The sequence below is a fragment of the Homo sapiens genome, chromosome 4 (genome assembly GCF_000001405.40).
Source record: "Homo sapiens chromosome 4, GRCh38.p14 Primary Assembly".
NCBI classification, from domain to species: domain Eukaryota; kingdom Metazoa; phylum Chordata; class Mammalia; order Primates; family Hominidae; genus Homo; species Homo sapiens.
Window position 1 is genome coordinate 115218643 of NC_000004.12, and position 20332 is coordinate 115238974.

Here is a 20332-nt window from a genome sequence, read left to right on the forward strand (position 1 = left end):
CTCTCGAGAGAGAATACCGGGTGTTCTTGTGGAGAATGACAGATCATTATTTACGTTCATCACTGACTCCATGGCTTACTCCTGGACAAGTGGCAGGAAGTATACACAAAGGAATGAATGTGTGAAACTTAGTTTTAAAAGGTTACCATAAAGGAAATAAATGAAAAACATGAAAGCAGAGGTGCCTCTTCCATATTCAGCCCTTCACTTGAACTCACTATTTTTTTTAAAAAGCGAAATGATCAGAAAAATGTCATATCTAGGTATAAAAATGGAGGAACACAATTTTCTTACATAACAATTTAATGGGAGTTTTGAAAAATATGAATATTGTTGTTTTGAATTAAGTGAGAATATCGGTATCAAATAAAAAGCACTGTAATAACATGCTATGTTAACTTATTTTAACTATCATTAATAGAAATAATTTCACAAACATTAAGTATATCCAACTAACATTCATTTTTTCAACCTTCTGTAAAGTGTTTTAAGATGGGTTGGCTAATTTTAAAGATATTTTATTTTGAAAATTTGCTAAATATGTTGTTCCGAGGTACCTTTTAACATTAGTAACTCTTGACTTCACACTGGCTACCAGTCTACTGTCTACCTGACTACATTTTGGCTTATGTACTTTTTAGTTACAGGAATCTCAAGGGCTGGAATTTGTTTTTAAATTTCATGCTTTTCTATTTGAAGTAAAAATATAAATAAAGAAAGCAGAGCAAAGATTAATTAACCAAACACTGTGTTTGATGAAAACTGTCAGATGGCAAGGAAAATGGACGTAAGAGCAAATAAATGTATGCATACCTGCAGGCTCCAGGAGACACATCAGTATTTTCACACAATGGATAGTGTATTGAATACACAGTAGGAGTCCTAGTACTCACTAAGGCTTGCCTATTATTAGGTGAAGATGGTAGGTGTATGACAGGTTCAGCCTGATCACAAGAATGAAATTTAAATATAAAGGCACATTTAAATTCTTCTGAGAGATGCAGTGTGGCAGTTGGAGAGCAGAGCAGGAGCAACACGAGTGAGGAAGTAAGTGACTCTTGGCAATTAATCACACATGTCAAAGAACAGTCAGGAGGATCTGTTGCATTTGACAAAATAAGGGACTCCTTATACTCCTGAAGAAGAGGTCCTCCAGGTCCTCTTGTCCTGGTAACTATGTTTGTTTTAATCAGAGTGGCACTAGGATGAGACACTAAGTGGAAAAATAGAAATTCAATAAATATAAAGTAATTCATGACATTGTATAATCATATTGTTGATTTTACTATACCTTTAATATTCAGTAAAAATAGCAATAAGCAATCTTAATTTATATATATATATAATTACAAAGAGTGTATTTTCTTTTGTTTGCTTTGGCATTTTGGTTCATTTTTACACATGTGCTTTTACTGTATGATAGTTGGAGGCACGTGGAGCCTTCTGATACATCCCCATCTGTGCCTACTATTCTGTTGACTCTCATTCCTGCTCTCTCTTTTGTCCTCACATTGCTAAAACCCCTGAATCACCATTTACTACTCACTCTCTCTCTCATACCTTGCCTCTCATCTGTTCATAATTATACCAGAATTGCTTGTGAACTATCTTTCTATTCCTGCCCTTTTTCTGGTTCCCAGTTTCTGCTTTTTTACATCTCTTCCACAAAATTACAAGAATTATTTTCTAATGTAGACCTAGTCATACCATTTTTTCTTAAAGAAAATCCTTGAATGTAAGCACAAGAGAATCAGATTTGGGTATTTAAGAGATGTTGTAAAAGCATTCTTTGATATGAATATATTATATAAAACCAAAGAGAATCTATATTATTATCTAACTTGCAAGCTTGTCCAACCTTCCTTATATTTTGTTTTTGTTCTTTTTTTTAATTTTTATTTTAGGCTTTCAGCAGCCTGAAGTCACGGTTTTTCATTTCTGTCTCTAGTGATAAGTGGAAAACAGGGATAAGGAAGGGGCTTTACGGGTCTAACCAGAAACAAAAACTAAGAACCCATGACTGTATGGTTTCCAGTGGATACCCTGAATATGTTTTATTTTAAATAAAAATAATACCTTTTATGTATTTTGTGTATATAGGCTTAAAGGAAGTGCTTCAGCCTATTCACTGTTTGTCTCCAATAAACATGCATTCTTTTGGTAATGAGATGCCCACTCCCATGCCCAATTCAAGACATGACACAATCTTGATGGCAATGTGTACAGCTTCTTTAAGACTTTCCAGGATCTTTTCCAGCCTTCTTTCCTAGCTCATAATGTTGCAAATTCTCTTTATCCTATGCCCTGCCTCCAGTCCGCTGTAGCCTTGTTAGATGCCAATCTTTTCCCAGAGAACTTTGTTCATTTTCAAGAATTTTTTCCTTTTTACATATTATTCCTTCTGCCTGAAATTTTCTTCTCTTTCTTGTCTGATTGATGAATTCCTATTTGTTCTTTAGGACAATTCAGGTTTTATGTGCGTGAAGATGTACCTAACCTCACTGAGGAAATGAATTGTTCTGTCTTGGATACGGTATTAGAACAACCTGAATATATACAACAGCTATCAATTATACACTAGGTGTTTTTTAGCTTTCTTGGCTCCCTGATAAATGATGAGCTTTCTTAGACTATGTCTTCCATGGATTGTATTTTATTTCATATTTTATTCACAATCTTTAGTGAGCTACTGTGAATTTGGTAAGTCTTCAACAAATGTTTACTCAATGAATGCAAGAAAGAATCTGAGACATAAGAGCTGGTCGCCTTAACTTCAGATTTTTAGAAAATTATTTCTTTTATATATTTGTATCATCTAAGATCCTATTTGAATTTTCAATATCATTTTCTTGATATTTCAGTATAATTACTGCCCTTATTTCTTACTTCTTCCAATCATCCCCACATAAGATTATATTCAAATACACATCCCTGAATTCCTGAATAATATCTTTCAGAGATTGGAATTGTTTCCAAGTAGGAAGAATTCCCAAGGAGGGAGAAACTGTATGATGCAAATTTGGACCTTGAGCATTCAATCTTCTCCCCAGTCGTCCTCTAAGAACTTATGTCCTCAGAACTTTTATAATGGAAGATAAGCATGGCGGGGAGAGGGGAACAAAACAATACACAGACAATTGTGCCTAGCATTAGGAATAAATAAAAGCTTCACACATAAATGATTTTCAAGAGACATACATGTTATCTCATAGTTTTCTTAAACTTAAGTCCTGAGTTCTCAATAGAAAAATATTAAATCGTGGGCTGAGGAAGGAAGAGAATATGTGGATGGAAAGGTAGTTGGGGATACACTCAATTTGCTCATAGCGATTTTTATTCAGCACAGCATAGTTTATGCCAGACAATAAATACTCAATAGATTGTTGTTATTTGAAATAGTGAATTCCACGAATAATAGTTGAACATCTATTATCATTGGTCAAGCCCTTTTCAAGGCCTAGGGAATTCCTAGTTTAGGGAAGAAATGCTGTATGTTGCTTATCTTATCTGTAAATACTTAAAGAAGATACAGGCTCTGTCAGACTCTGTGAAAGGAAAATAAATCTTTGGGCTCCAAAATCACTAAGCTACTGGGAAAACTCAAGCTGGGAACTGCTTAGGGCAAACCTACCTCCCATTCTATTGAAAGTCACTCGTCTGCTCACTGAGATAAATACATATCTGATTGTCTCCTTTGGAGAGGCTAATCAGAAACTCAACATAATGCAACCATTTGTCTCTTATCTACCTATGACCTGGAAGCCCCCTCCCTGATTCGAGTTATCCCGTCTTTGCTTCAAGTTGTCCCGCCTTTGCTTCAAGTTTTCCTGCCTGTCTGGACCAAACCAATGTTCATCTTACATATATTGATTTATGTTTCATGTATTTCTAAAATGTATAAAACCAAACTGTGCTTTGACCACCTGGGGCACATGTCGTCAGGTCTTCCTGAGGCTGTGTCACGGGGCATGCATCCTCAACCTTGGCAAAATAAACTTTCCAAATTAACTGAGACCTCAGATATTCAGGGTTCACAACACTAAACAGCATTCTGGACACAAAGAGAACAAGCCAGTTGTCATTCCTGAATTCACAGAACTCCCAAGCTGAAATCATAATAGAACAATATTTAAATGATATGAGCAGAAATTGATAAAGCTCTAATTATACCTAAAGGAAAATAAAATAACTTTCAGAAATGTGTTAAACATTTATTGATGGATATGCCAAGTATTGTACACAGATGTGTCATTTATACCACCCTGCTGGTTTATTATAGTGCTATTTGTTTCTGAAATGCTTCTATAATTTTGCATATACTAAAACAGAACAATTTATTTTAGTACAATATGTAATTTTATTTGAGTTCTGTTCTGTACTCTCTCTCAGCCAATATTTGATCTAGCTTGCTTTCATTGAGTTTATTATAAAGTGTGGTTTACATCAGTCTAAACTTTATCTGCCATTTACTTTTCGTTTTGGTTAACAGTTTTGATCATGACTGACAAAAGGAAAGCAAGTGATAGTGCTTAACTAGCTGCAAAAAAATAAAAGACATATCACACATGATATGAAATTGGAAGTCATATAGATTTCCATCAGAAAAGCCTCAGAAAGTGATTGAGAAAAAAGATGGCAAAGATTATCATACAACTTAGAACTGGTGAATGGGTTTTCATATTATAAAAAGTATCAGGAAATTTAGTGCAACTTGAGAGTATGGCAAAAGAATCATGTAAGAGACAGTTGAAAGTGAAGATAACAAACTAACAATTGCAAGTTTGCTATGCTGTAAATACCAGTACTGTGTTGCAAACACATTTCTGTGGGGATAATGCCATGAGGGCCTATGCAAAACAGGTCCATTTAACAAGAAAGACTATGTTCAGTGATGCATCCCCTCCCTATCTAATCTGTGTATGTAAGTATAGTGTCTTTTATATTAGTTATATAAGGACAGGAATAAAACAAAAATAAGTGGCACTGAGCTGGACTTAGAACAATAAATTGTATTTCAATAAGTGGCCAATAAAAAAAAGAGAAAATCAGTCAGAAGAAGTAACCTAAATACATGTGTCATATTCTGGGTCTTGAAAATCTTACAGGATAAGGTTAAAACTGGGGAAAGAAAAAATATTCGAAATTTAATGTAAAGCAGTTGTAGAAAGTATTCTACATTTTTATATTATTAAAGTATGTGTAGTTACTTTAGTTTTGATATGAAGTTGAAAATATTATTAATATAATCAAAAGGAAATAAAGGCAACTGGAGATCATATATTTTACTATAAATGAGCTTAGATTTTTAAAATAATTCCTCTTTACAGGTTTTACAATTTGACCTATTGTATATCTTTCTTACCTGTCAACCTTACCTATCGAGAATATACTCAAGAAAAAAATAAGGTAAAAATACTGTAAATAACCATAATGCTTCCTAAAATCTAATTTATTTTATTGACAATAGAACACTTAACATAGTTCTATTTAACAATCCAAACTTCTTACCTCTACTTTACCTCTCAGTTCATAAGAAATCAGAAGCAATAATATCAACAGGTTTTAGAGTTGATTTCTGCTTGTTGATATGAAGAAGTAGCTTGCAGAAAAAAATGAAACCAGACAAAATATGATGGGATCATCTGTCTCTAGAGTTGCTAGCCAGGATTTGAGGGAGCCTAGCAGAGGTGGGCTGATGTTCTGCAAGATGTACTAGCTAAACTCAGTGTATTTGTTGATGCTTAGGGACGACAGAAAGGCTGTGAGGTCAGACATAGAACTATTATTGAGAGGCCAGAATGCCAGTAGAGCTTTCGTCAATTTCATAAGACTGGGGAGAAAAATTGAGCTTAAGGGTGCAATGGCAGCCAAACCTTACATACCAAGATCTCAGAAAAAGTGAAGCATAGAGAAGACAAAATTTTGTGATTTTCCTCTTGCAGCATTTATTGAAATCTTAATTTACACAGGAGTAGAAGCAAAAAACTAAACAGATAGTTGCTCAAGAATATTACAAAATTCTTTGACAATCTTAAAGTGTGAAAGAGATAATATTAAAAAGAGAAAAACATAAAGGGCATATCAAGAAGAAGGACTCTTGGTAAAGGCGTGAGTTATCTCAGCTCTTGACTAGATTATGGTAATCTGCCTCATCCTAGCCACTCAAAAAAAGAAAGACTAGAAGAAGAGAACATTGTTTAGAGACTCTGAAATTATAAATGTGAGTTGTCCCACAATCAATGAGAAAGTACCCAACATACCAAGAGACAATACCAAGAGAAATAAATGACCATAAAATGTAACCGAAGGAAAACCTCGATATTGTGTTTACTAGGAACATACTTTAAAATAAGTGTGATTTAAGTTTAAGAAAGCAGATGATATAATGGAGAATTTCACCAGAGAATCTGAATCTATAAAAATAAAGGATATAATTTTTACAATTCAAAATATCAAAAAACTTAGGAACAAAAAAGATAAACTAAATAGCAAATTGTACAGAGCAAAAGGGGTTAAGTGACTGGAAGAGAAGGGCAATAAAAAATATTCTGACTAACACATGGAAGGTAAAGAACAAAATACAGAGAAAAGAGAGTAAAAACTCATGAGGAAAAAGTAAAATGTCTACTTTAGTTGCAGTTGGAGTTTCAGGAGAGAATGAAGAAAACACATCAGAATGATATTTAATAATGGCCAAAACCTCACCAAAACCAACAAAAGACATAAATCTACAGACTCAAAAAATGTTGCAAAATCCAAGGAGGATGAATTACAAAGAAAGGAGAACCATGGCCTGGTATGTTGTTAACATCATCAGGGTTCTCTATCTGGGTAAACTAAGCAAATGTTGGTATCACTGAAAAAATAGAGATATTTGAGGAAAGATGGGAAAATGAGATAAGGGAAACATGATGAGCTTGATTTTAGAAATGGTCAGAAAGCAGGAAAATAAGTAGTAGACATAGGCAGCCTCAAAAGAGATCTGTCTGGAGGTGCAGAAAAGAGTCCTTCACCAAAGATGTCTTTGCCCATGGAGAGGAGAGGGGAGGGACTGCATTAGTAAAGAGGGTTGCAGGAACTCACAGAATCCAGGACCCTGTACCAAGTCTCCAAATATTTCAAATTGAACCCCCCCTTTGGTTTCACTTGGCTTATATAAATTGAGGAGTTTGGCAGAGATAATTGTTGTTATACGTATTTTGAATTTTAGGATTGTATGCATTTTATGAAGTTTTCATATGTTTTGTCTCACTATAATATGTTATGATTGAAAAAAGGCAAATATTTAAAGTCTCCATTACAACCACAATGGAACTGACCTTGAGAAAAGTTAAATGTGTTGTATGTATGGAATCTCTCTGGCTTTAACTTTCTAGAACTCATCCTCTAAGTCAAGAAAGCATGATTTTTTTATGAAGTCTAAAATGTAAAATATTTACATTTTAAGGAATTATAATTTAGGAGTGATAATGGGATTGTGATTATGTTTTTAAGAATCCTTTTGTTTAAGACATATGTACTAATTTTTTTTTTTTTTTTTTTTTTTTGAGCTGGAGTCTCACTCTGTCGCCCAGGCTGGAGCGCAGTGGCATGATCTTGGCTTACTGCAAGCTCCGCCTCCCAGTTTCACACCATTCTCCTGCCTCAGCCTCCCGAGTAGCTGGGACCACAAGCGCCCACCACCACTCCCAGCTAATTTTTTGTATTTTTAGTAGATACGGGGTTTCACCATGTTAGCTAGGATGGTCTGGATCTTCTGACCTCGGCCTCCCAAACTAAAATATTTTGAGTATGATACTGGAATTTGCAACAGAATGATACAGTAAGTAAAATAGTAATTCTCTATATGTTTTTATTTTATTTTATTTTATTTTATTTTATTTTATTTTATTTTATTTTATTTTATAGAGATGGGGTTTCACCCTGTTGCCGAGGCTAGTCTAGAACTCCGGAACTCAAGCAATCTGCCAGCCATGGCCCTTGGCCTCTCGAAGTGCTGGGATTACAGGCATGAGCCACCATGCCCAGCCCCTATTTCTTGTTTTGGGTCATTCTAAAATACATCTGTACAGTTACCAAAACCCATCCAACTAAAAATTTAAGCTTTTTGCATTTTAGTGGATGCAAATTGTGTCTTAGTAAGAAGAACATACAAAAACTAACAAAGATAATGTTGAAGAAAATAACAAAGCTTAAGGACTTAAACTATTACCATCAAGACATGTATAACTACAGTAATTTTAAAAACTGTTTTCTTGCATAAGTATAGAGAAATGTACTAATAGAAAAGAATAAAAATTAGAAACAGACAAAAATAATCACCTGATAGTTCATTCTGTAATATAATTAGGAAATAATGGTCTTTTCAATAATACTCATGAGTCAACTGAATACATGTGTAAGAAAAAAATCAACTGTGCCTTCTACTTAACAATATATTAAAAATTTAATTCCATACAGAAAATAGATGTAAATGTGAAAGACAGAAAAATAAATCTTCCAGAAGAAAACATAGGAGAGTACCTTCATGACCTAGGATTAGACAGAAATTTTTTAACTAGGTCACAAAGGCACTAGTCATAAAGGAAAAACAGAAAGAGAAATAGGGTTACATTAACATTAAGACCTTCTATGTATCAAAACACACCACGGAAAATGTGAGTAGGTATAGCATAGACTGGGAGACTTTGCAAGGCATGTATTTGATAGAGGCTTATATACACAATATATAAGAACGTGTACAATTCGACAATGTAAAAAGCTCCATAAAATACTAGGTGAAAGTTTTCAATGGGCATTATAAAAGGGACCAAGGAACATATGAAAAATTCCCAATCTCACTAACGGCAAAAAAGGCAAATTAAGAGGCAATGCCATTGTTCACACAGTCTCCAAAATGTTAAATCTAAAAGAGAGACAATACCTAGTTCTAGTAAGAATGTGGAGTAAATGAACTTTTCGCATACAGGTGGTGAGAGTGCAAAATAGTAAAAATAACTTAGAAAATTGTTGGCAGGCCGGGCGCGGTGGCTCATGCCTGCAATCCCAGCATTTTGGGAGGCTGAGGTGGGCAGATCAGGAGTTCAGGAAATCAAGACCATCCTGGCTGACAAGGTGAAACCCTGTCTCTACTACAAATACAGAAAATCAGCCTGGCATGGTGGCACGCAACTGTAGTCCCAGCTACTCCGGAGGCTGAGAAAGGAGAATCTTTTGAACCCAGGAGGCAGAGGTTGGAGTAAGCTGAGATCGCGCCACTGCACTCCAGCCTGGCGGCAGAGCGAGACTCCATCTCAAAAAAAGAAAATTCTTTGGTGGTATCCACTGATGTAGAACATGTGACCTAGTAATTTTATTCCTTGATATAACAAAGTTTAGCCTGCAATGGAATTGGGAAATAATGGTCTTCATTGGTTTTTTAAATGGTTTTTCATTTCTTAACACATACCACATATTCAAGAAATAGAATATTATAGTATCTCTAAAGCCTCCTTTATGCTCTCTCTTATTACTCTCCAAACAACCACTATACTAACTTCTGTCATATATTAATTCTACCTATTTTTGAACTCTACATAACTGGCATCATATAGTATATTTCCTTTTATGTCTTGGTTCTTTCACTGAATAATACAAATTTGATACTGAGCCTTTGTGTTTTGCATAGCAGCAATTTGTGTACTGCCATTACTACATGATTCTTACTTTTACAGATAAAGCACAATTTATTCATTCTGCTATGGTGGTCATTTGGGCTGTTTCTCGTTATTGAATTCTAATATATAAACTTCTATGAACACTTGTGCATATGTTTTTATTGATTTATGTATATCTATCTGTTGGGTATATATCAAGTATACCAAATGCATACTTATATATTTAAAAAGACTATGAATGGTTAAAAAAATCTGATAGTTAAAGCTGTAAACTTTAGATATGCATTCATTGATTTAACAGCTAATTATTAATTGAGTATGATGACATGTGAACAAAGAACATTAGAACATTTAAGATTTTCATATTTTTCTGATTGCATGTTATAAATTAGTATAAAATGTATCCTCTCCAGTTAACACACGCACACAGTCACACACACACAATATTTTATCTTATTAAACAACTAGGAAGTATCAGATACTGTACTGGGAATAATGAAAATAAAATATACAAGGCCATATCATCTTAGAATGTATTATCTAATAGGCAATTAACAAATTATCAAGAAATGGACATAAACTTGGAAATTGAAACAAGTATTGTGAATGAAATAGAAGCGAACTTCTGAAAGAGAATAATGGAGGGTAGGCAGAGGGGCAGGAAAAGAATAGGACAGTGGGTGGTGTTGAATCTGTTCTCTGAGGTTGTGGTAGTGAAGCTGAAGCCTTTTGTTCTAACTTTGCTTAGTGGGAGAAAGACCTTTTCAGTCACACCGAGCTTGTATATTCAGGGACTTGCTGAGGACATATTATACCAGATGAGGATGGGAAGTCTGGTAGAAATCACATAATCATAGCCTTAAGGGCTCTTTGGAAATGGTAAGAAAGATAGGTTTTGTTTCTCTTGCACAAATAATAGGGTGGTTTTAATTAGTGGGAGCATAATCTAATTTATGATTTAAAGTACATCTCTAGCTGCTGTATCAAGACTAGCTTGCAGGGATGAGTGAGGTGTTAAAAGACTTGGGTTGAGTTCATGTGAGAAATTATGGACCCTGCGCAAACAATGGTTTGGCAGAGACAGAGATTTTTTTTTGTATGTAGACTTGATAGCAATTGCTGATGAACTTAATTTGGAAAGGTGGTGGTTGGGCAAGGTAGAACAGAAAGTAATTTAGAATGATTTCTAGGTCTCTGGCTTGTTCACTTGAATGTATGTATATTCCTTTTATTTATTGAGAAAGAACTTAGTAACAAATCACTTTCAGAAAAGGCAGAGTTCAATTATAAGTGTGATAAGTAGTTGAAAGTCTTATATATGGATGAATCAAGTTTACAGTTGCATTAATCAGTTGAGACTTCAAAGAGGTCTGGGTAGGGGATATATTTTGGAGGCTGTCAGGATATAGTTGCTATATAAAGCCTTGAGAATATGTGAGCTCATGTAGGAAGAAACTGTAAAGAGCAAATGCCCAAGGTCTACCCCCAAGATTCAATCTCTCTGACATTTAGTGTCTGGAATAAAGCCTGAGATGGAGCAGCAAAAGAAATACCAATAATAATAATAATAATAATAATAATAATAATAATAATAACAAGAAAAAAAACCCAAAAAACAAAAAAAAACCCAACAGTGTTTTGTTATAAAATGTAAGTGAAGTAAGTGCACCAAGAAGAAGCTAGTAGCCAAATCAGAAATTTTTCTGGGCAAGTAAGGGCTAAACAAGTTCTGTATGTTTGGTTATGATCTTTGACAAAAATAGTGTTAGTGGTGGTTTTGTGGTTAAAAACCAGATGTGAATGGATTTCAGTCCATAGTGTTCTATATCTGGCATATGGCAGATTAAAGATCAGAATGATACTTTGGATTTGATTAAAGCAACTCAAATGCTGGGTAAAAGTTGAAAACAATTTTAATGCATCACTGAGCTGCACAAAAGTAAGAAATACACTGTGATTAAAAATGAAATTAAAGCAGGAACCTTGGGAGGTAAGTGAACACCAAAGCTTGTTTTCAGCCAGAGGGTTTTCTGACAAACCCTGGGAACTTGAGGTTTTGCTTTAATGAACCTCATTACATAATGGGGTATGAGGGAGAGAAGATAAAACTCAGAGCCTGCCCAAGATTCAGAATTGAGTTACATAAAGCAAACCCCTACAGTTTAATGAAAATTAAACCCCATTGCACAGAAAGGAACTGATTGGAGAATTTAAAAATCTTAACCTTGACAATAAATGAAGAGAAAAATTCACCCTGCATATTTATATTCACAAGGTGGCTTTTACATGGGGTGAACATCTATAAAAATAATGTAATTCATGCCAGGCACAGTAGCTCATGCTATAATCCCAGAGCTTTGGGAAGCCAAGGCCAAAGGATTACCTGAGGCCAAGAGTTCAAGACCAGCCTGAGCAACATAGTGAGACCTCATCTATACACAAAGAAAAAGGAAAAAAAATTATCTGGGTGTGATGGCATGTGCCTGTAGTCTTTGGTACTTGGGAGGCTGAGGCAGGAGGATTGCCTGAACCCAGGAGTTTGAGATTAGAGTGGCCTGTGACTGAACCACTGCACTCCAGTCTGGGCAACAGAGGGAGACCCCATCTCAAAAAATAATAATAATAAAAATGTATTATAATTCAAAAGGCTTCAAGTAATTCATACTTCAACATGTTAAATGAAAAGGTTAAGATTATATTATCTTGATAAAAATGGAAAATATGCAAGAAAATTCAACATTGATTCCTTATACAATTATTAGTAAATATTTTTAAGTGTGTAAATTTTGTAGACAGCAAATTATAAAACTTGACTATATGATATTAAAGAAAACCTAAAATCGATAGAAATATAACTATTTCAAGGGTTGGGAAATTCAACATTTTTATGATACAAACAACAAAGTGGCTGCAATTCTAGTAAAATTCTCAGTATGGTTTGTTTCACTTAACTTTACATTTTACATTTAATTTGTCAGTCTGATTCTAAAGTTTGCATCAAAAAGCAAATGATCAAAAATAGGCAAAGGAATTCTAGAAAAAAAGAGCAATGTGAAGAGACTGGCCCTTCCAGATCCTCAGAGCAGCTATAGAGCTATAGTAATTAACATGGAGAGGGTTAGCACAGTAGGAAACACATAGAGAAAAGGATCTAAAGAGAAAGCCTAGATATAGAACCACAGCATAGATATAAACCCATGTATATATGGAAATTTTATTTGACACACAAAAAGAATGGCAGAGTGATGCAGAAACAACAAACACATTTCAGTGTGACAATGGTACCAATAATAACAAAATATTAATGATGGTTTGGGGTAAGAGAAATATGAGAAATTATTGCTTTCTTTTTTGTGAATTTTAAATGAGATTTTCCTACAAAAACAAAGATAGTAAATAATATAACAAGTAGTGAATAAAAGGCGAAGAAGTGGAGATGGAAAAATAACTCTTCAAATGGCTATGAAGAAAAGCAGATAATTTAGATATTAGTTTGAGGTATGCAAGGACAAGAGGAAATTATTGTTAATATTGGAATCTAGAGGGCCTCTGTAGCCTGAAGGAATGATCAAGTAAAAAGTGAAATCTAGATGATTCAAAAGGTAAGGGGGTAAATTATTTAAAAGTTTGTCTACATAGGGAACTCTTAATGTTCTAAAATGCTGTGTAAGCGAAGCATAGTTAAAATGAGACATTGTGACCATGAATTTGCATAGCCCTAGGTTTTCTTTTCCAAGCAGAAAGAATAGACATTAGGAGACATAAAAAATCTGTAATATTCCTGGAATAATCTTTCTGACATTGAAAAATGTAAGGCAGACAGAGCAAAATATGTGAGTATAGATATGAGACCACAGAAAATAATTTGATACAATTTTTCATTTCTTCTTGAAATAATTTGAAAGTTATCCTTTTGAGTTTCTTAATCATAGAAAGTATTCTGGGTCTACTGAACTACCAAGAGCTTATGAATGCATGTGGAACAGAGGTATGACCAGAGTCAAAGGTTTTCTATTTCTTCCTTGATGTAAAACCCTGCATATCCATTTCTTCCTGCTTTTTATCCAATCATAAAATGTTGATTCTAATGATAGAAGCAAAATTAGAAAATTATGATTCTAAGTTATATTAATGAACTTAAAATAGTCCAGTAAAAAGAAAAAAAAAACTTGATAGGTTCTACCCCTGTTCACCAAAGTCTGGCCCTTCTGCATTTCTGGGCTCCAGCAATCCTCCTGCCTCAGCCTCCCAAGTAGCAAGGACTACAGGCAGATCATTCCCCCTTGAATTACACAGTGTGACTGTTTTGGTCAATCTAATGTTAGGAGGAGTGAGGTATCTTATTTCTGATGGAAAGCAATGATCCATTATTCAGCCTGACTCTTCCCTTGCTGCAGCTAGTGTGAAAGCTTATATTGCTGTGGAGGTACCATAAATTCAGAGCAAAAGCACATCTTTATTGAGGTAACCCAGTGAAAATTTGGAGTTGTTACTACAGCATAACCTGAACTATTTTGAATGAATTAAGAAGCTAAAGTAGAAGGACTAGCAGGAAAATTAAACCCCAGAAGAAGTAAAGGAAACTGGGTAGAAGAAAATCTAAATCTTCAAACTATCCCTAAGCCTTAGGAAGAAAGGAGTTGTGTGTGAAAGAAATTGTAGAAAGTGCTATGTCATGGTATAGCTCAGTTTATGTATTCCTTTCTAGTGGAACTGGGTTTGAAGGTTATTTCAGTTTCTTCGCAAAATTTTACCTCATTTAAAAAATTTTTAAATATTTTAGTTGCCCTGGGACCAGAAACCTAAAGTTGAGGATTTTGAGTCTTAAAATTAGAAAACAGATTATGACTTTGAAAGGTTTCAATTTTTTATCTTACAAAACTTACAGTGACTAAAAAAAGGTAATTAAAAATTAAATAGCTGGTCTTGATTCTTAATTTTTTAAGAAAATGCAACTTGTCTTTGGTCTTTTTATGTTTATGTGTTGCTTTACCATTTTATTTCAGGGATCTGGGTCTATCTTACACGAATTTCCTATGAAGAGAGGCTTACATTTTATAACTGAAATTACTCCCACCAAGTGAGCTTAAAAACCCATTTTTCATGTTTAGCAAGACACTCCTGCATATAGCAATGAGAAAAGATTATTTGTCAGTGAATTTCAAGCATGTCTTTAGAAAAGTCTCACACAGTGCCTTTCTTGTGTCCTTATTGACTTTTAAATATTAAGTCATGCGACAATACTGTTTTTACTCCAAGGGTCAGGTGACAGAAAACAATAAACTGGCTAAAAGTAATAAAGCGCTATTAAATAAAATCAAACAAGAAAATATAGCTCTAAAATTCAGGCTACCACTTTGTCCTTACTTTGGCTTGCTTATGGGAATTTATTGAAGAAGCTTTTTAAACTTCATCAAAAAAGCCTCATAGCAGTTAATGATAGTGTGAGGGAGAAGAGGTTTTGCTATGTTTAAATTCCATTAGAGCATTGTGGGTTTTCACTTCCTTAGTGGACCTTTTAACTTCCGAAGTAAATCCTTTGAGGTTTAAGCTTATTTGCTCTCAGCAATAATATGGCTTCTGTGACAAAAAAAAAAGTAATACCATAGCAATTTTTACAGCATGCACTTGTGAAATATCTTCCTATCATGAATATATAGCTGAAAGGTATCTTCAAATTAAATTGTATGATATGATGTGTAAGTTTAAGTTTTTAATGAAATGGAATACAGCTATACTGAGTATTCAATCAATTGCAATTTTTAAAATTTCACTTAAAGGAAGAAACACAAATTAATAATAAATTAACTCATAACAGCAATATGATTAAAAAATCATGAGTAATTTCAAACCTTATAATTCTTTCCCAATGTTTCTGCTAGATTTTAATATAATAGGGATTAAATTCTAGAGCCACATGCAAGAAAAGCATGTTTAGACTACATAGGGTCTTTGATAAATACAAAGTAGATAAATTCATGATTATATGAGATAGAATGCATAAAATAATTTTATTTCATTTATGATAATTTTATTATGTATAATCAAAAATTACACAATCAAAACTTTTCTTAAGGATTACATCATTCTAATTCACTAATTTGACTCTGAAGCTTCTGGTTAGACATGGACCATTGATTGATCACTGACATTTATCTCCTCTTTTTATGAAAACTCACTAAAATAGGAATTCAAAATACATAAAAATCTATAAAGTCCAATACAGCAAGAGAGAAAATAACATAAAGAGAATATGGTTCCTCACTTAGCGGATTTATAAAAAAGTACCTGCAGGGGGCATGCCTGACACAAAATAGAATTGTTTCCACAGCTCCTGGGAACATAAGTTATTGAAAAAGACATAGCTAAAATGGGAACCTGAAAACAGGAGGTTGTGTAAGAGGCTGTATTGTATTATATTGACTCCTCACTCCCAGGTCCCTTTCTTACAACCAATCCATCCCTCAACACTAAAGTTTTATTTTCTAAGAAAACTCAGTACATGAACTACAAGCATAGAAGAGGACAGGGCCAGGCTTGGGACTATAACCAGCCTGAGTGAAAAGCAGAACTCAGGTCCCTTTCCCCATTCTGGGAATAAACGAAGCAATCTGGTATTTATTTGCACAGCAGGAAATTAGGAGACACCACTAAGGAAAGACAGAGTCATTGCAGCTCATCCCACAGTAAATGGCTTCAATCAACAAAGCCTTTACAGAGAGCTTCCAATCAGCTTCAAGTGTTTCACTTTTAAATGTAATGGAATAGTAAAAGCTTACCCGATATTTGAGGAAAGCCACCAACATGAAAAGTGAGCGACCAAAACTAACAAAAAGTGGAAAAATGAGAAAAGAAAGCCAATGGAGAAAGGAGAAAATAAAGCAAAAACAAAACAAGACTAATTGTCATATTAAGATATGAGAACATATTGCATACTTTAATAAAGTGGTCTTCTCTAAGAAGAATAAAAGAAAAAAGCAAGAAGACATGGATAAAATAAAAACATGTAATTAATGGGTTGGATAGTAAAGTTGATAACATTTTCTATCATGATCTCAGGTCAGAAAAATGCATCCTGCAAAGCAGTACACACAAGACACAAGGAAGAAAAGGAGAGTTGTGGTTCAATTCGGCCATTTTTCTCTTTGGAGACCTGGCACATAATTTTGATATGCATTTGATTGTAATGCATATCAAAACCTAACTGATAGTAAAGATACTTAAAGTAATCATTAATCATTGAGGAAACTAAGATCAGATTTGCTGGTATTTTATTTATTAGACATTTGCATCTATATGCATTAGCGAAATAAGGTTAAAGTTTCATTTTTATTTTTATCAGATTTTGATATAAAGGTTTGTAAATGTTTTTAAAAAATTTTTTTAACAAAATGTTTCTTATATTCTGGAAGATTTTGCACAGACTTGGAATGTCCACACAAACCTAAAATATCTGCTATAAAATCACCTGTGTTCAGAATTTTAAAAAGTTATTTATTTCACTCTTTTCATTTTACTATGATTATTATTTTGTTGAAATCATGTTTTGTTTTTAGAAGATTTTGGTAAGGATGTAATATTCTCTATATTTGAAAACCATACTTGTGTTTTTATCATTAGTCATAAATATTCCTAGTTGTGTGGTGATTTAATTAAACTTGTAAAAGCTTTATATATTTTATATTTTGATTATATCTACTAAAGAAATATTTTTTGGATTAATTTAGTTATTCTGTGGTTTTTTCTTTTTCTAGTTGATAACATTTGTCTTTAACTTGCCTATTTCTCCACTATTCGTTTTTTTTTTATTTATCATATCCTACTTTTTTTTCAACTTCTTAACTTGATGTTTAATTAATTTAATTCATTATTTAAATGTAAGCATTTCACTTTATAAACCTCAGAAGCCAATGTGGATACATCCTAAAGCACTTAAAAGTATTCCCACTTTCAGTAATAATCTCTAGTTGTTTTAGAATTTCCTAACTGAGCAAATTTTTCAGAGGAATGTTGATTAATAATCAAATGGATGTTTTATTTGGTTTTTGCTCAATTAATTCATAATTTTATTACCTTTTGAAAGAACATGTGGCTGAAGTAGTTTCTATTTATTGGAGTTTTCTGAGATTTTCTTCATGATCTAATATATGACTGTGATCAGGGAATAATTTTTAAAACTAAGAGCTATCCTACATATTTGGCTATGTTAAATGTCCTTTCAACTCTCTATATTCTCATTGTGTTTGTGCTGATGAGAGTAGGCAAAAGCAGAGATTGTATTTTCTATTTATTTTTATGTAAACTATATTTTTACATAAGAAGTATGGATACTTACATATATATATATATATATATATATATATATATATATATATTTACATATATTTTGAAAGATTGTGAGTGGTTTGTTAATGTCCTTTCCTGTATTTCCTTCAATTTGTATTTGTATTTATAAGAATTTCCAGGCCAGGTGCGGTGGCTCATGGCTGTAATCCCAGTACTGTGGGAGGCCGAGGCGGGTGGATCACGAGGTCGGGAGATCGAGACCATCCTGGCTAACACGGTGAAACCCCGTCTCTACTAAAAATACAAAAAAATAGCCGGGCATGGTGGCGGGCGCCTGTAGTCCCAGCTACTCAGGAGGCTGAGGCAGGAGACCGGCTTGAACCCCGGAGGCGCAGCTTGCAGTGAGCCGAGATCACGCCACCGCACTCCAGCCTGGGCAACAGAGCAAGACTCCGTCTCCAAAAAAAAAAAAGAATTTCCTTCATATATATTTAAAGTTATGTAGTTCAGCAAAGCCTCTTTTCTATCCAAATTATAGACTTCTTTAATTTGCCTTGAAATATACTTCATTATTTATTGCTTATTACTGTTATTAGTCTTGCATCTTTTTGTTTGAACTTCTCTGATAAAATTTTGCTCAGTTATGTATTATTTGCCAACATTTTACATTTTATCAATAATGAATATATGGATCTTGAATTCCAATAAGGTTTTATTTTTTAAAATGTTTAATTTCTTTTATAACTTTCATTTTATTTTGTTTTGTTTGTTTTATGATTTCTATTCTCGATGCTCCTAGTGTTTTGTTTTTACTTTATGGACTATGTTTTATTTATATCATTTTTTAACTTTCTAGAAAAGTTGGGCCCTGTGCCTAATATTTTAAATTTCTCTAAGGGTGATTTTATGGCTATGCTAATTGCTAAATGCTTATGCTAATCTGATTTTTTTTATTACTTTTAAGAATGAGGTAAGATCTTGTAATACCTTTGAGAATTGAGATTGCATTTAACTATGAATAACTAGAAATTTAATTACAATTACATATAAAAATACTTTATCTTTCTTACAAACGAATAAATCTGGAATCAGTTCATTGCTAGCACTAGTTAAGTAAAAGGGGCCAAGTTCTCCAATGTTGGCTTGGCCTTTCCCTAATAGTCTTAAGATGTTGGTTTAAGTTCAAGTCCTGAGAAAGCTCTGGACAAGGTAAGAAGACAGAGTCATCCAAAGATTTAACAGGAGCATCCCCTTGTCTGAAAGGAGGTAGTTGCTGGCATTATCTTTTGCTTACAAAAAAAGATGAGCATCTTTTTCTTGTTACCTTTTCCCATCTTCTTCCTAAATTGATTTTTAAATTCTAATTTATTAGATTTATGTTTAGAGAAAATTCAGTGGTTTGTTTTTAACCTCATCTTTCAGAATTCATTTCTCTGATTTAATATTTATGTTAATTTTTACAAAATTATAATAATCATTTAGACAAAACGTAGCTAAATATTCATGTGATGTCTTCTAGTTGTTTCTTTGCTAAATCTCTGGTGAATTGTGATGTATATTTTATATATTTTATTGTATTAATACCATCATGTTACTTTTTCAAATTTTTGAGTCTCTTTTTTTTAGTCTTTAGAAAATTTTCTTAATGTTGAAAAACTAGAATGGTATTCCACTATTGAATTTTGTTGTTGAGAAAACTTCGGCCAATATGATTTTTGTGTACTCATAAGTAACAATTTTTTTGTTACTTGCTTTTCAGTAGCTGGTTTTTCTATCTGGATGTGTATATATTATTTTATATTAATTTATTTTTACACAAAAAACATACCTTTTAAGGGTGTTGATTTATGTTTACCAATTTTGAGACATCTCAGTGAGTCATTGGCATTTATAGGTTTTAGTAATTTTTAAGATCACTGTTTTTTTCATCTGTTCTAGCTTGAATATTGCATCTGCTCCACTAGCTGTGGTTATTTCTAAATACAATTTAGAAATATATTATATATATATATTTATCTCCTTGTTACCTCCACATTCTATGTGTGGCTCACAAGTTTTTCTTCAGTTTTCTTATTTATTTCTGCAGCATTAGTTCAGCTCTTCATGATTTATAAAGTTTATTTTAATATGGCTTTGGAGGTATTAATTTCCTTATAATATTTTTCCTCCGATGTAATCTTTCAAGCGTTTTAGTAATTTTCCTTTTCAGTTTAATTTGATATTTTATATTATTTTAATTATAACCTCCTTTTTGACACATTCTCAGAAAGTTACACCTCCAAAAATTAAAATTATATAATTAAGATTACACCTTTCTTATTACATTGAACTCAAGTTCCACTTCTTTTATGTTGTAGAATCTTTTCACTTGCAAATCTTTGTAGCTGGAC

General features: G+C 33.2%; 1 annotated feature.

The window, feature by feature from the left end:
* Positions 643-1212: an enhancer, noted in NCBI's record as "OCT4-NANOG hESC enhancer chr4:116140441-116141010 (GRCh37/hg19 assembly coordinates)". NCBI's record gives its function as "activates a minimal SCP1, AML or CMV promoter by ChIP-STARR-seq in primed H9 embryonic stem cells {active_cell/tissue: H9 hESC(primed)}" and the evidence as "EXISTENCE:reporter gene assay evidence [ECO:0000049][PMID:30033119]".